The sequence below is a fragment of the Homo sapiens genome, chromosome 6 (genome assembly GCF_000001405.40).
Source record: "Homo sapiens chromosome 6, GRCh38.p14 Primary Assembly".
Taxonomy (NCBI): Eukaryota; Metazoa; Chordata; class Mammalia; order Primates; family Hominidae; genus Homo; species Homo sapiens.
The window spans coordinates 87,702,287-87,717,343 of record NC_000006.12 but is presented as its reverse complement, the minus strand read 5'-3'; the positions used below and the strand labels follow the sequence as shown (position 1 = coordinate 87,717,343).

At 41.0% G+C, this 15,057-nt stretch overlaps 3 annotated features.

The window, feature by feature from the left end:
• Positions 7,003-7,142: an enhancer, noted in NCBI's record as "active region_24802". NCBI's record gives its function as "activates an Ori minimal core promoter by ATAC-STARR-seq in GM12878 lymphoblastoid cells {active_cell/tissue: GM12878}" and the evidence as "EXISTENCE:reporter gene assay evidence [ECO:0000049][PMID:35858748]".
• Positions 11,595-11,714: an enhancer, noted in NCBI's record as "active region_24801". NCBI's record gives its function as "activates an Ori minimal core promoter by ATAC-STARR-seq in GM12878 lymphoblastoid cells {active_cell/tissue: GM12878}" and the evidence as "EXISTENCE:reporter gene assay evidence [ECO:0000049][PMID:35858748]".
• Positions 14,540-14,849: an enhancer, noted in NCBI's record as "active region_24800". NCBI's record gives its function as "activates an Ori minimal core promoter by ATAC-STARR-seq in GM12878 lymphoblastoid cells {active_cell/tissue: GM12878}" and the evidence as "EXISTENCE:reporter gene assay evidence [ECO:0000049][PMID:35858748]".

The following is a 15,057-nucleotide window of genomic DNA, read 5'->3' as shown; positions in this document are numbered from 1 at the left end:
TTCCCTACACCCACTCTCAGGAAGTTAGAAATATTTTTCTAGTCCTGGGAAAGCTGCCCTCTCTCAATACTGCTGCTATTTTTTCTCAGTGGCACTTGCTCCATTTTGTTATTACTGCCTCAAAGCACTGGGCATAATTCGCTTAATAGGTTTAGGCTTTTTGGAAACACAAAAGCTAGAAACCATTTCTGCTTTCCACTTGGTAATGTTCCTCTTCTGAAGCAATGAATCACGTGCTCGAATGTGATGCAAGGAATACATGCTTGAATGGAATGGAGTGGGAGAGAAAAAGAAGGGTGGAAATATGGGAGAAAAAAGTTACCATTAATTATTAAAAATATTATTCTATCACATATTCATCTTAAGACTTTTTTACACTTTTTTCTTTTATTTTAAATTATAAAATAATTTTCTTTGACAAATTATAATTTTATATAATGATGGGGTACGCAGTGATGTTATCATATATGTATATAATGTGGAATGACTGAATTAAGCTAATTAACATATCTGTCACCTTAAATACTTATCATTTATTTCTCCTAACTGAAACTTTGTACCCAAGACCCCTTTACATTCTCTCTTTTTTTTTTTTTTTTTTTTTTTGAGACAGAGTTTCGCTCTTGTTGCCCAGGCTGGAGCCCAATGGCATGATCTTGGCTCACTGCAACCTCAGCTTCCCAGGTTCAAGCGATTCTCCTGCCTCAGCCTCCTGAGTAGCTGGGATTACAGGCAGGCACCACCACGCACGGCTAATTTTGTATTTTTAGTAGAGATAGGGTTTCTCCATGTTGGTCGGTCTGGTCTTGAACTCCTGACCTCAGGTGATCCGCCTGCCTCGGCCTCCCAAAATGCTGGGATTACAGGCGTGAACCACCGCACCCAGCCTTTTTTATTTTTTATTTTTTTGAGATGGAGTATCGCTCTGTTGCCCGGTCTGGAGTGCGGTGGTGCGATCTCGGCTCACTGCCACCTCCACCTCCTAGGTTCAAGCAATTCTCCTGCCTCAGCCTCCTGAGTAGCTGGGATTACAGGTGCCTGCCAACACGACTGGCTAATTTTTGTAATTTTAGTAGAGACAGGGTTTCACCATCTTGGCCAGGCTGGTCTTGAACTCCTGACCTCAAATGATCCACCCATCTCGGCCTCCCAAAGTGCTGGGAATACAGGCATGAGACATCGCGCCCAGCCACATTCTTTTTATTTACTTATTTATTTATTTATTTGAGACAGGGTCTTGCCCTGTCACTAATGCTGGAGTGCAGTGATATGATCACAGCTCACTCAGCCTCAACATCCCGGGCTCCAGTGATCCTCCCACCGCATCCTCCCAAGTAGCTGGGACCACAGGCGAGTGCTACCATGCAGAGCTAATTTTTGTACTTTGGGTAGAAATAGGGTTTTGCCATATTGCCCAAGCTGGTCTTAAATTCCTGGGCTCAAGCTATCCTGCTGCCTTGGCCTCCCAAAGCACTAGCATTATAGGGGTGAGTCACCACACCTGGTCCCCTTTATGTTCTTGACAACCCCCAAAAACTTGTTTATGTGGGCTATATTGTATTGATGTTTATTGTTTTAGAAATTAAGATGGATAAATGTTTCAAGTATTTACTAATTCATTTAAAAATAACAATAAACCCATGACATGTTAACAAAAATGACTTTAAAAAAACCTGTGTTTTCCAAAACAAATGAACAAACAAAAAAGATTTACTGAGAAGAATGGCATCATGTATGTTTCTGCAAGTCTTTTTAATGTCCAGCATAAGAGAAGACAGTTGGATTCACATCTGTGGTTCTGTACTCAATGTGTTGTGATATATCACATGTCACATAGCTTCTAGAAAACTCCCCGATACACTGGTGAGCAAACGAGTGAAAGACACAAATGACATCTTAGTATTTGGTGAAAATACCTTTACCCAGAGGACCGCCTGAAAGGACCACACTTTAATAACTGTTTGATAACTGTTCTTTCAAATCATGACATATACGCAGTCTGGAGTGCTAGTCCTGGCAGGAAACATACATAGTCATCATCTTAAGGAGGCAATACATGGTCAAGGGCACTGATTTTGGAAGCAGACACTTCCAGGTTTGAAGCTCAGCTCCTCAACTTCCTACAGAGTGGCCTTGGGAAGGTTACTGAACTTTTCTAAATTCCAGATCTCCTACCTAGAAATAGAGAATAGTACCTACCTTACTGAGTTTTTGAAAGATAATGTAGTATTTTCCAAACTTCCTTAGTCATAACATTTGCCAAGTCCGTGTAAGACCTATACTATTATCCTCTTGGTGTTTTTCTGTTGCTCACTTTTTAAACTTCAATAAATGTTTTAAAAGGAAATTTTATATCACTGTTATAAATGCAACACTACTTGCCCTAAATTGAAGGTGCAATGAAAATTAAAGAACTTGTTGCCTGAGAAAGTGTTAAGCCTAAGGCCTACTCTTTTTTTATAACAAAAGGAAGTAAGTTGATGTTAGAAAGTCATTCAAGACCTGCACCAAAGGGAGACTCTCTGCCAGGTGTAATTAGGAGTCAGAGGCTTAAAGAAGGAACGGCTTTCTCAATATGTGATGCAATTTGATTTCTGCCTAGCCCATGTGCCACTAAACCATCAACTACCTGAAGCCATTTCCTGTATCACCCCACACTTAGGAGACAGTGAGATCATGCATGTAAGCACTAAGCTCAATGCCTGGCACAATGTAAGGACTCTGCCATGTAGCTTTTGTTATGTTTTCTAATTCTTTCTTTTCTTTTCCCACAGGGGTTAAATGAGTCACCTAAGCCTGCAGCTATTACGTGAACTATGACTACAATCTGTGTCTTATATCCCCTTGTGGGTAAGGGCATGGACTCTAGAACTGGGCTTTGCCACTTCAGTGTTGTGTGACCTTGGGCAAGGGACTCAACCTCTCTATGTCTCAGTTTTCTCATCAGTAAAAGAATGATACAATAGCAGCTAATTTATAAGAGTAAATGAGTTAATACACATAAAGCCCTCAGAACAGTGCCTGGCACACAGTCAACACTCTGTATATATTAGCTAATAGTGTTCTTTTTCACCATGCTGGCTTTGATGGTGGTAGTCATTAACAGGCAGCTACACTACTATAGAGAAATTTTTCTCAAACTACCTGAAGGAACAGATTTTTTCCCCAATCCATATTTACCAATAATTTAGTAAATAGAACAAAATTAATTACTAGAAAAAAGAAATAAAAAAGAGAAAATATGAAATATAAGCCCATATTTTTTATTATTTGATTCAATAGACATATATTTTAATAAATATAATCAGAGGCAGGCCGGGTACAGTGGCTCATGCCTATAATCCCAGCACTTTGGGAGGCCGAGGTAGGCAGATTGCTTGAGCTCAGCAGTTCAAGACCAGCCTGGCCAACATGACAAAACCCTGTCTCTCTCTGAAAAAAAAATAAAAATAAAATAAAAAATAAATAAATTAGCTGGGTGTAGTGGCATGTATGAGGTAAGAGAATTGCTTGAGCCCAGGAGGTTGAGACTGCAGTGAGCCAAAATGGGACCACTGAACTCCAGAGGGTGACAGAGTGAAACAAAACAAAACAAAAAAAATCAGAGGAAAGACAGGAAAAGATAAATTACAAAAAATGTACATATTGTTAATTGAAAGCCTAGGTATACACAATTAATAGAGTCTTGCTTCACTACTTTCTTGTTATTCCTTATTTGTGATGAAACAAAAAGTCATGAAGGAAATAGCAATTCTCTATGTTAAATGCTGATATGTACACTTGAAACAAACACCTTGTATACTACTATTTAAATTTTTTCATGGCAAAAACCACATTTACCTTTGCACCAACCTAATAAGATCCTAAAGGCACGTTTCACACTGTTGACTTGGGTGGTAAAGAAACTCTGAAGGAAGGAGATGGATTAAATTTTACAGAGCATCATAATGGAAATAAGTAGAAGTGGTTAACTAAAATTTTTTTTCTTTTTTTTTTTTTTTTTTAATACAGAGTCTTGCTGTATCACCCAGGCTGGAGTGCAATGGTGCAATCTCGGCTCATTGCAAACTTTGCCTCCTGGGTTCAAGCGATTCTCCCATCTCAGCCTTCTGAGTAGCTGGGATTACAGGCACACACCACCATGCCTGGCTAATTTTTGTATTTTTAGCAAAGTCGGGTTTTCACCATTTTAGCCAGGCTGGTCTCGAACTCCTAACTTCAGATGATCCACCCGCCCCAGCCTCCCAAAATGCTGGGATTACAGGCATGAGCTACTGCTCCAGGCCTAAAAAAATTTTTTTAAAGAGAGTCTCACTATGTTCCAGAGGGCACAAAACATGTCTCCTACAAAGGCCTCATTTTTTTTTTTTTTTTTTTTTTTTTGTGGCGGAGTCTTGCTGTGTTGTCCAGGCTAGAGTGCAGTGGCATGATCTTGGCTCACTGCAGCCTCTGCCTCCCAGGTTCAAGTGATTCTCCTGCCTCAGCCTCCTGAGTAGCTGGGATTACAGGCACCTGCCACCACAGCCAGCTAATTTTTGTATTTTCAGTAGAGACAGGGTTTCACCATTTTGGCCAGGCTGGTCTTGAACTCCTGACCTCAAGTGATCCGCCCACCTTGAGCCTCCCAAAGTGCTGGGATTACAGGCATGAGCCACCACACACACCCTCACTGTTTTGTTTCTCCATGGAACCTAACACTTGAGTACCAAGCTTTAAAAGATGATTGATTATTGCAGTATCACGTTTCTGTTCTAAGTGATTGAGTTCTCCAAGAGTATTGTGAAATGACATGGTCCACATGACTTATTTGCCTTTTCTAAGTAATGTCTTTCATCTTTTCTCTAAAACAGCTAGCACTTACCTACAGATCACTAAAAATCATTCCCAAATTATATTAACCACATCTTTTACTTCACCTAAATAGACAGAAGTTCAGGTTCCTTTCATTCCTCTTGGTTCCTTGACACTCAAAATGTGAACCATAGACCAGGGGAAGCAATGGCATCACCTGGTAGGACACCATTGGCATCACCTGGTAGAATCCAAATCTGCATTATAACAAGATCCCCCAGGTGACTCACAGGCATCTTAAATTTGAGAAGCTCTGCTCTAGTTCACTTAACTTCTTGGCAGATGTGTCAGTGACACTATGCCACGGTCCTCAGGTGTGTGGCAAGCCCTCTGTGAGGCCACAGAGATACTAAGATAACTAATAACTAAGACATGACCCCTGTGATAGAAAGTAATAGTCTCTACTCTGCTCCATTTTAGACTGTGTGACCTTAGGCATGAGCCACAAATTCAATAGTAAAATGGGATTAACACTATGACCATGTAGGATTTTTATTAGGATAAGCTGAGAACACACCTGGGCCATGGTGGGATCCTCTGTAAACAATAACTTTTATTAGGTTGGTGCAAAAGTCATTGCAGGTTTTGCCATATTCCCCTCACATATTGCCAACCTAGGCTGTAACTCACCTATCTAGGCAGGATTAAAGTGACACACACCCTAAAACCCAACTGCACTGATTGGGAACTTTAGATGTTATCTGAGTTCCCTCTTTTGCACTCTCTCTAGTGATATTTGTGTACATTTCTCCTCCACTAGACTATAAGCGTAAGGGAGGGGCAGTGTCTTCTTCATCTTGCTAGCCTCCGTGTTGTCAAACAGTGTCTTAGACATAGCAGACTCGCAGTACATGGTTGTTTAAACAAGAAAGACTACTCTAGGTGTTCAAAATAATTTTTGTGTGCACCCCAATCTCATCTTTCACGTCACTTTTCATATTCCAAAATAAACTGCCAACACACAGATTTAATGAACCCAATCACTATTATCTTCTGTTGTAACCTAAAAGGCACAGTAGGTTTTAGAGGTTGGAAATTAGGCCATAATCCTGACAGTCACTACTCCTGTACTGCATGCTTATCAGAGAACATTCAATTGGGCTGGCTGATTCTCTTCTCAATGAATACTCATGGACTTTCTTTCAGAAGGGTTGTGAATTTTTAAATTGACAATTGTGCATGACCAAAACATTAAAAGTTGAGACTCCATTAGAATTGGAATGTCAGCTGGAGAATGGTTGGGAATATTAGTTTGACAGTTTTGAGTCTGAACTCCCACTCTTCTTTGCGAAGACATGTAAGAAGTCTCTGAAACACAATAGAAGATAATAAGGAACATCCTAGAAAGGCAGTCAGAGGTGAGAATTAAACTCACTACCCAGGAGGAAGACAAAATTGAATAAAAGTCATTGGCAGCATTCTGCTTGGGTGTGTATGTGGTGGGGGCAGCTGGCTCAGAAACTGGACCTCAGCAGCCGTAACTGGACTGTAGGCAATCTAATAGACAAAAAGGCTTGGGGAGATTTTGGAGTTTTCCTTAGCATGATAATAATAGACATGGCTAACTAAGGGTTTATTATGCACTAGACAGTATCGTGTGATGTACTGGCTTTTAATTTCCAGATTGATGGTAACTGGGATGACTTTTTTTCTCCAGAAAAAAAATTGTATTTTATTTTTCCAAATTATTATGATAAATGGGACTTTTGAAAAAGAATTTTCAGACAAGCTTGTAAGATAGAAAGTAAGCTTTGAAGGTAGGAATGTCTTATTCCCATGGACCCACTCCATGACCCCACTACTCAGAGGCAAACCATACCAGGAGTGTGAACTGTCTCCTTTAAGTACAAGATGGGGACAATTCCTTGTACTCATCTGGCCACAATATATAACAAACTGTGGCACACAAGTTTCAGATAAAATCTAGCAATTTTTTGAGTACTCTATAAAGCCCTAACTTTAACACAAGCCCTGAGGACTGCAAGGGACCAATAATCAGTCCCAAGGTGATGCTTGTTATCAGTGGGTGGGGTTAGGAAAGCTGCTCCTGGGGTAAGAGTTGAGCCTCTTTTATCATTTCCTTCACACCATGCACCTGGCTAACCCTTATAACAATGGGCTTGCAGAGGAAGCCCAAAATATTGGGGAAGTGCAGGCATCATCTCATTCTCTCAAAAAGCCTCATCAGAGAAGGTTTGTGGTGGCATCATGGAACCACAGGACAAAAGGCACAAGAGGGAACGAGAGCCTGACACAGACAGTGACACCAATTCTGAGTCAGGCTTGGACTTAAGCAAGACAACGGAACAGACAGCTGCAGTAGAAGGTGTGAGGGAATTCTAAAACTAAATGATGAGGCGGGGCTAGAGACAACCTTTAGGGGCTTGAGGTCCCCCACCAATGGGGAGATAGTGTGTGAAGCTTTTCATTATTCATCAAATGTTTACTGTTTAGTTTATAGCTGGCACTCTGCAGTGAATAGAACATGCATGGTCCAAAGTATTTCATGTATTTAACTTTCCAAACAACTGAAACTTTAAATTATCTGAATCTTAAATACCTTCTATGGGATATTTTCTTTTTCTTTTCTTTCTTTTTTTTTTTTTGAGATGGAGTTTCGCTCTTGTTGCCTAGGCTGGAGTGCAATGGCATGATCTCTGCTCACCACAACCTCTGCCTCCCAGGTTCAAGTGATTCTCCTGCCTCAGCCTCCTGAATAGCTGGGATTACAGGCATGCGCCACCACGCTTGGCTAATTTTGTGTTTTTAGTAGAGACAGGGTTTCTCCATGTTCGTCAGGCTGGTCTCGAACTCCCGACCTCAGGTGATCTGCCCGCCTCGGCCTCCCAAAGTGCTGGGATTACAGGTGTGAACTACTGCACCCAGCCAGGATATTTTCTTTTATTATTATTATTATTTTTTAAAATTATACTTTAAGTTTTAGGGTACATGTGCACAACATGCAGGCTTGTTACATATGTATACATGTGCCATGTTGGTGTGCTGCACCCATTAACTCGTCATTTATATTAGGTATATCTCCTAATGCTATCCCTCCACCCTCCCCCCACCCCACAACAGGCCCCGGTGTGTGATGTTCCCCTTCCTGTGTCCAAGTGTTCTCACTGTTCAATTCCCACCTATGAGTGAGAACATACGGTGTTTGGTTTTTTGTCCTTGCGATAGTTTGCTAAGAATGATGGTTTCCAGCTTCATCCATGTCCCTACAAAGGACATGAACTCATCCTTTTTTATGGCTGCATAGTATTCCAAGGTGTATATGTGCCACATTTTCTTAATCCAGTCTATCATTGTTGGACATTTGGCTTGCTTCCAAGACTTTGCTATTGTGAATGGTGCTGCAATAAACATACGTGTGTATGTGTCTTTATAGCAGCATGACTTATAATCCTTTGGGTATATACCCAGAAATGGGATGGCTGGGTCAAATGGTATTTCTAGTTCTAGATCCCTGAGGAATCGCCACACTGTCTTCCACAATGGTTGAACTAGTTTACAGTCCCACCAACAGTGTAAAAGTGTTCCTATTTCTCCATATCCTCTCCAGCACCTGTTGTTTCCTGACTTTTTAATGATTGCCATTCTAACTGGTGTGAGATGGTATCTCATTGTGGTTTTGATTTGCATTTCTCTGATGGCCGGGCAGAATATTTTCTAATATCATGTTTGTTACACATTTTTTGAACTGCATACTAAACATAGTTTGTGCTTTTCTTGATGATTCATGGTCACTGTCTTGTGCTCCTTACTTAGGGTTGCCAGATAAAATACAGGGTACCCAGTAAAATCTGGATTTCAGCTAAATACATGCAATATTTGTGACTTTCTTAAAAAATAGAGATAGGGTCTCACTATATTGCCCAGGCTGGTCTGAAACTCCTGGCGCAAGCAATACTCTTGCCTCAGTCTCCCAAAGTGTTGGGGTCACAGGCATGGGCCACTGCATTCCAGCCTGTGACATATTTATACTAACAAATTATTCCTTGTTAATCTGAAATTCAAACTGAATTTGAATTTGGGCATCTTATATTTTTGTTAAATCTGGCAACCCTACCACTGTTATATATGATATTATAATAATACAAGGGAGCCTCAGCTGCAGTTGAGCCGCGGTAGGGCTAATTGTCCTGACAGGGAGGTGTCTCAACGTTGTTGTTCTTTTTCAATTCTGTAGTTATTTTTGACAGTCTCTTTTATTGCTATCCAATGATTCTACTGCTTGTTGTAGCCAGTGTATAGCACCTTTAATTCTCTTTTCTCTCTCCTAGTATATTCTTCCAGTTGGTTTGGACTGGAAAATAAGATCCCCAAGCACATTTGAATTTTCTGTCAAGTTAAGAGTAAACAGTTTTTGAAGAAGGGTGCAGGTACTTGAGGGCACATACTTAAGAAAAGTATGCAAATTTAAAAATAAGGACTTCGGCCGGGCGCGGTGGCTCACGCCTGTAATCCCAGCACTTTGGGAGGCCGAGGCGGGCGGATCACGAGGTCAGGAGATCGAGACCATCCCGGCTAAAAACGGTGAAACCCCGTCTCTACTAAAAATACAAAAAATTAGCCGGGCGTAGTGGCGGGCGCCTGTAGTCCCAGCTACTTGGGAGGCTGAGGCAGGAGAATGGCGTGAACCCGGGAGGTGGAGCTTGCAATGAGCCGAGATCCCGCCACTGCACTCCAGCCTGGGCGACAGAGCGAGACTCCGTCTCAAAAAAAAAAAAAAAATAAATAAAAAATAAAAAAAAAAAAATAAAAATAAGGACTTCATAATATCTTAATGTGACTGCCAGAGATTATCCTGTAATTTCTTTTCAACGTTCCTCAGGCTAAGTGAATCATGGTTTATTTCCTGGAGTGCATAGGGCATTGTATAAGGAGAACTCAGTCGCTGATGAAGAGGTGAAAGCTATATTAGGTTGGTGCAAAAGTAATTAAAAGTAATGGCAAAAACTGTAATTACTTTTGCGCCAACTGAATTGATAAAATAATTTGCAATTGTGTTTTTTACACTTGAACGGGATGCTGAATGTTCTTGACAATCTTTGGGGAGAGTCAGATACTGGTCTGGCTTGAGTAGTTAACAGGTAATCTTGCCTTGAGACTGGATCGCACTAGGTGACCTCTTGAAATAACTGGCAGATATATGGTTCTGCTTACTCTGTGATCTACCCAATCGACTCAAAATAATGACCACATCCAAAATTATGAAAACTGAAAAATTAGTCAGTATCATATCTACAACAGAAAGTACTGTGTATTCCAAATATGGTGCTTAGAAGAGATTTGGGCCAGCTTGCAAAATCTTATGCAGAAGGAATTACAATGTCTCTTCTTCCCTAACTGCACTCATTTACACAACGATTAAACAATTTTTCTGCCCTAGACAATCCTTGTTCTGAATATAGATTTGAAGTGGCTCCTGAATTAGAACTGCCGTTCCTAATGCTGAGCCTATGATTATTCAAACTCAGTATGAGAAGTCAGCAAACACCTCCCCACACCTTATATATTTGCATTTATCTTTATTTGACATCAGAAAAAAATTGTTTGAAAATGATTTAATATAAGCAGACAATCTTCAGGCTCAGGATGATGAGGTCTTATGTTACCCAGCTATGTCTACTTTTATTGGCTTTAGTCAAAGAATGACTCATCAGAATCAGATCCTGGAGAATATTTTGGGAGGTGTTAGGAAAGTCTAATACCAAGCAAGACCAGTATCTTGGTAAAATAGTTTAATTTTCTTCAGAGGCTTCTGAGATTGTACAAATCAGAAAATACTTGCTAGGTCATGGTAAAACTATTCTAAATATGTTAAACCTTTAAAACTTGTTACAGGCTTTTTAGTTACAACAAGAGCAATTCTGGTCTGTGTAGGTCACTGGAGCCATTAGCTGTACAGTATATTTAGATTCATGTGACCTGATTCAACTTATTAATGTGTTAAATATAGTTTTCTTTTTCTTATTTTTTCTTTCCTTTTTTCTTTTTCTTTTTTTAAACATTTTTATTTTTTGTAGATATGGGGGTCTTGCTATGTTGCCCAGGCTGGTCTCGAACTCCTGACCTCCTCCCTGCCTTGGCCTCCCAAAGTGCTGGGACTACAGGCATGAGTCACTGCCCTCAGCTCTTTTTCCTCTTTAGTACTTCCTTCCCCCCGTCTCCCATCTTAAGGTCTGCTGTCTTTTTCTTCTTGATCAACAAAATAAATTCATTTTTCAAATATATTGTGGTGGCTTACACTTGTAATCCCAGCACTTTGGGAAGCCGAGGTGGGAGGATGGCTTCAGGCCTGGAGTTCAAGACCAACCTGGGCAATGTACTGAGACCCTGTCTCTACAAAAAATTTAAAAATTAGCTGGGTATGGTAGTGCAAGGTTGTAGTCCTAGCTACTTGGGAGGCTGAGGCAGGAGGATCACTTGAGTCCAGGAGGTCGAGGCAGCAGTGTGCCTTGATTGTGTCACTGCACCCCAGCCTGGGTGACAGACCAAGTCCCTGTCTCTAAAAAATAAAAGTAAAATATACTATGTCATGACTTACGGCTTTTAAGTATTATCTTTATTTTCAAGTTTAGCCTAATAAATACTTTTGTAGGTTTTTTTTTTTCAACAGCTTCCTTCTACTCTAAAAGGGTTGCTATAGTATTTTAGCAGATCTATAAAGGAACAAGGATAATGTGGGCTACTGGGGATAGTGTGATAAAAAATGTTTAAGAAATATTCAGTGGACATTTACTGAAGCGTGCAAGGTATTATACTATTGGTAAGGAGCTAACACAATGACAGGAGAGGCAGATTCATGAACAGAATTTTATTGCAGTGTGGTGAGGATAATGATGAAAATATGCAGATAGGTGTCTCTTTCTCTGTGAGGCTATAAAACTAACTTGGCTTTGAAACACTGCGGAGGGCTTCCTGGAGGAGTTAATGCCTGGCTTGAGTCTTAAAATATAAGTAGTCAGGCAAGAAGTGTGGAGCAGAGAGCCTAAGCAAAGACATAGGTGAATAGGGAAGGGTCTCCCTTGTCTTTTTAGTTTCTGAAGTAGCTTCCTGAGTCATTGGTAGAAGGGGAGGCACCCCAGCCCTGTCACTGTTTAATCTTGACAGCCTTTTGCAAATATACTGTGCAGCGGTGACCACACAGGCAACTATTATGACTAAACTATCAAGTTTACCAGATATCCCCCACCACCTTTAAGTACAACAACACTTTGCTGACTGGGTGCAGTGGCTCGGCCTGTAATGCTAGTCTGTAATGCTAGCCTGTAATGCTAGTGGGAGGATCACTTGAGGCCAGGAGTTTGAGACCATCCTCGGCAACTTAGACCTCTGTCTCCACAATTAAACAAAAAAATACTTTCCTCATTTTCTAGGCATTCTGGTATATTTCAAATGATAGCCTGATAACCACAATCCTCTCTGTATTAGTTTCTTACAGTTGCCATAACAAAGTACCACAAACTGGATGGCTTAACCTACAGAAATTTATTGTCTCATGGTCTAGAGAATACAACTCTGAGAAGGTGTTTTCAGGGTTGGTTCCTTCTGAGGACTGAGGGAGAACAACTTCTCTCCTAGCTTCTGGTGTTTTGCTGGCAATCTTTGGCATTCCTTGGCTTGTAGAAGCATCACCCTAATCTCTATTTTCATGTTCATGTTCATGTGGGTCAAAATTCCCTTGGGCCCATGCCTGGGTTCAAATTCCCACCCCCACCCAGTCTCCCCTTCACCCTGGCCTTTTTTTCTTTTCTTTTTTTTTTTTTTTTTTTTGAGACAGGGTCTGGCTATGACACCCTGGCCGGAGTGTGGTGGTGTGATTACAGCTTACTGCAGCCTCAACCTTCTGGGCTCATGCAATCCTCTCACCTCAGCTGCCCCGAGTAGCTGGGACCACAGGTGACCACCACCATGCCTAGTTAATTTTTTAAAAATTTTTGTAGAGATGAGGTTTCTTATCATTGCCCAGGCTAGCCTCAAACTCCTGGCCTCAAGTGATCCTCCCACCTCGGCCTTCCAAAGTGCTGGGATTACAGGTGTGAGCCACCGCACCTGGCCCAAATTTCCTTTTTTGTATAAGAATACCAGTCATATTGGATTAGGGGCCCATCCTACTACATTTAGCTAATTACATTTGAAATAATCCTATTCCTAAGTAAAGTCATATTCTAAGGTACTGGAGGTTAGGACTTCATATGAATTTTGAAGTCCTTGAATTCCCTCAAACATAGGGAATTTAACTCACAACATCACATTTCAAATGTAGGTTTTATAACTTATGGGCAAATCTTAATTTCAGAAAATATTACCAAGTGTTTAGAATTTACTAGAAATTTACCTAGTAGGTGTCTTAGTTAAGCTGCTGTTTCATTAAATGCTTATCTTTTTCAAAAGATTTTCCAAATGTAGGAAATGTAGGATATTTCCAAATATCCTAAATTAAAACTAGAAGGGCTTACTTGTTGACACAGTGTGATCAGGACTGCTGATCTCTGAAGCACTGGACAATTCTATAAAATTGTCTATAAAAAAGAATATATTGAACTACTTCTAAATATGGTTTAAAAATAATAGACAAAATGGCTATAAAACATCTGTTACTGAATAAAGAAGAATACATGAGCACTGGAAATCAGTATTTATAATCATTTGACAGTTGGCATTCACAAAATTGTTTCATATTGCACTGGTGATAGTTTCTACATATATCACTTTTTTTTTTTTTTTTTTTTTTTGAGACGAAGTCTAGCTCTGTCACCCAGGCTGGAGTGCAGTAGCTTGATCTTGGCTCACTGCAACCTCCGCCTCCCGGGTTCAAGCGATTCTTCTGCCTCAGCCTCCTGAGTAGCTGGGACTATAGGTGTGCGCCACCACGCCCGGCTAATTTTTTTTATTTTTAGTAGAGACAGGGTATCACCATGTTGAACAGGCTGGTCTCGAACTCCTGACCTCGTGATCCGCCTGCCTCGGCCTCCCAGTGCTGGGATTACAGGCGTTAGCCACCGCGCCCGGCATCATTTTCTTTTCTTTTCATTTTTTTCAGACAGAGACTCGCTCTATCACCCAGGCTGGAGTGCAGTGGCAACATCTCGGCTCACTGCAACCTTCGCCTCCCGGGTTCAAATGATTCTCCTGTCTTAGCCTCCCGAGTAGCTGCGACTACAGGCGCGCGCCACCACGCTCGGCTAATTTTGTATTTTTAGTAGAGACGGGGTTTCACCATTTTGACCAGGCTGGTCTCGAACTCCTGACCTCAGGAAGATCCGCCTGCCTCGGCCTCCCAAAGTGCTGGGATAACAGGCGTGAGTCACCATGCCCGGCTACACAGATCACTTTCTAAATTAGCGCTGTATTTGATTCTTATTTTAGGTATGTGACTAAAAGTACAACTTCTAGAAACACTTTTTTCCCCTTCCGCTTACAAAATGGATCCATCCAATATCTATTACCTAAACATTTCACTGTCTTTTGATTAGTTTTGTAACAAAGTTCACAATATATGCACCAATATTCAACAGAAGTAATGCAATGTCTGATACCACTTGCTTTTTACCCAACGCAAAACAATTTGATTCTGTAAGTCGTTCAAGTCCTATTCATTTACAGAAGCAAAGCTGGCTTTACAGAATTTCATTAGTGGATGAAGCAGCTACCTCCGAAGGGTAGAGCATCGAGTTGAATCAAGGATCCTGTAACCTGATACTATTACTGTTGTTCTGTCTGCCAGTCCTAAATAGGTTTCATAATCTCATTATCTCCTATCCTCTCCATGTGAAAGGTCTTGTTTTGGGTACTGTCGCTACCGAAATTAAGCTAACTTTGACTAGAGATTGGTTTATTATATTTCCCAGATCTGAAATCACTGTGGGAGCAACTATACGGAGAATCTTAAAAGATTTCTATGTCGCTTAGCCTGCTTTTGCCACGGGTTCGCTTTCCCATCTCCCACTGTCTCAGAACCTTCTCTTTTTTTCTCTTTTGCTTAGTTCCTCTTACACTCAAGCTGTGTAGGGGGATTTAAATTCCAACCCGGAACTCGGAATCGCGCGCCTTGCATGACGGAAGTCGTAGTTTCTGTGACTCCTCCCTTCCCGCCTTTCAAGCCGATTCCTCCCGGTACCTAAAAACTACAACTCCCAAAATGCATCCCCGGTTTGGCCCGCCCCCGTGCGCAAGCGCTCTGAGGCCGCCGGA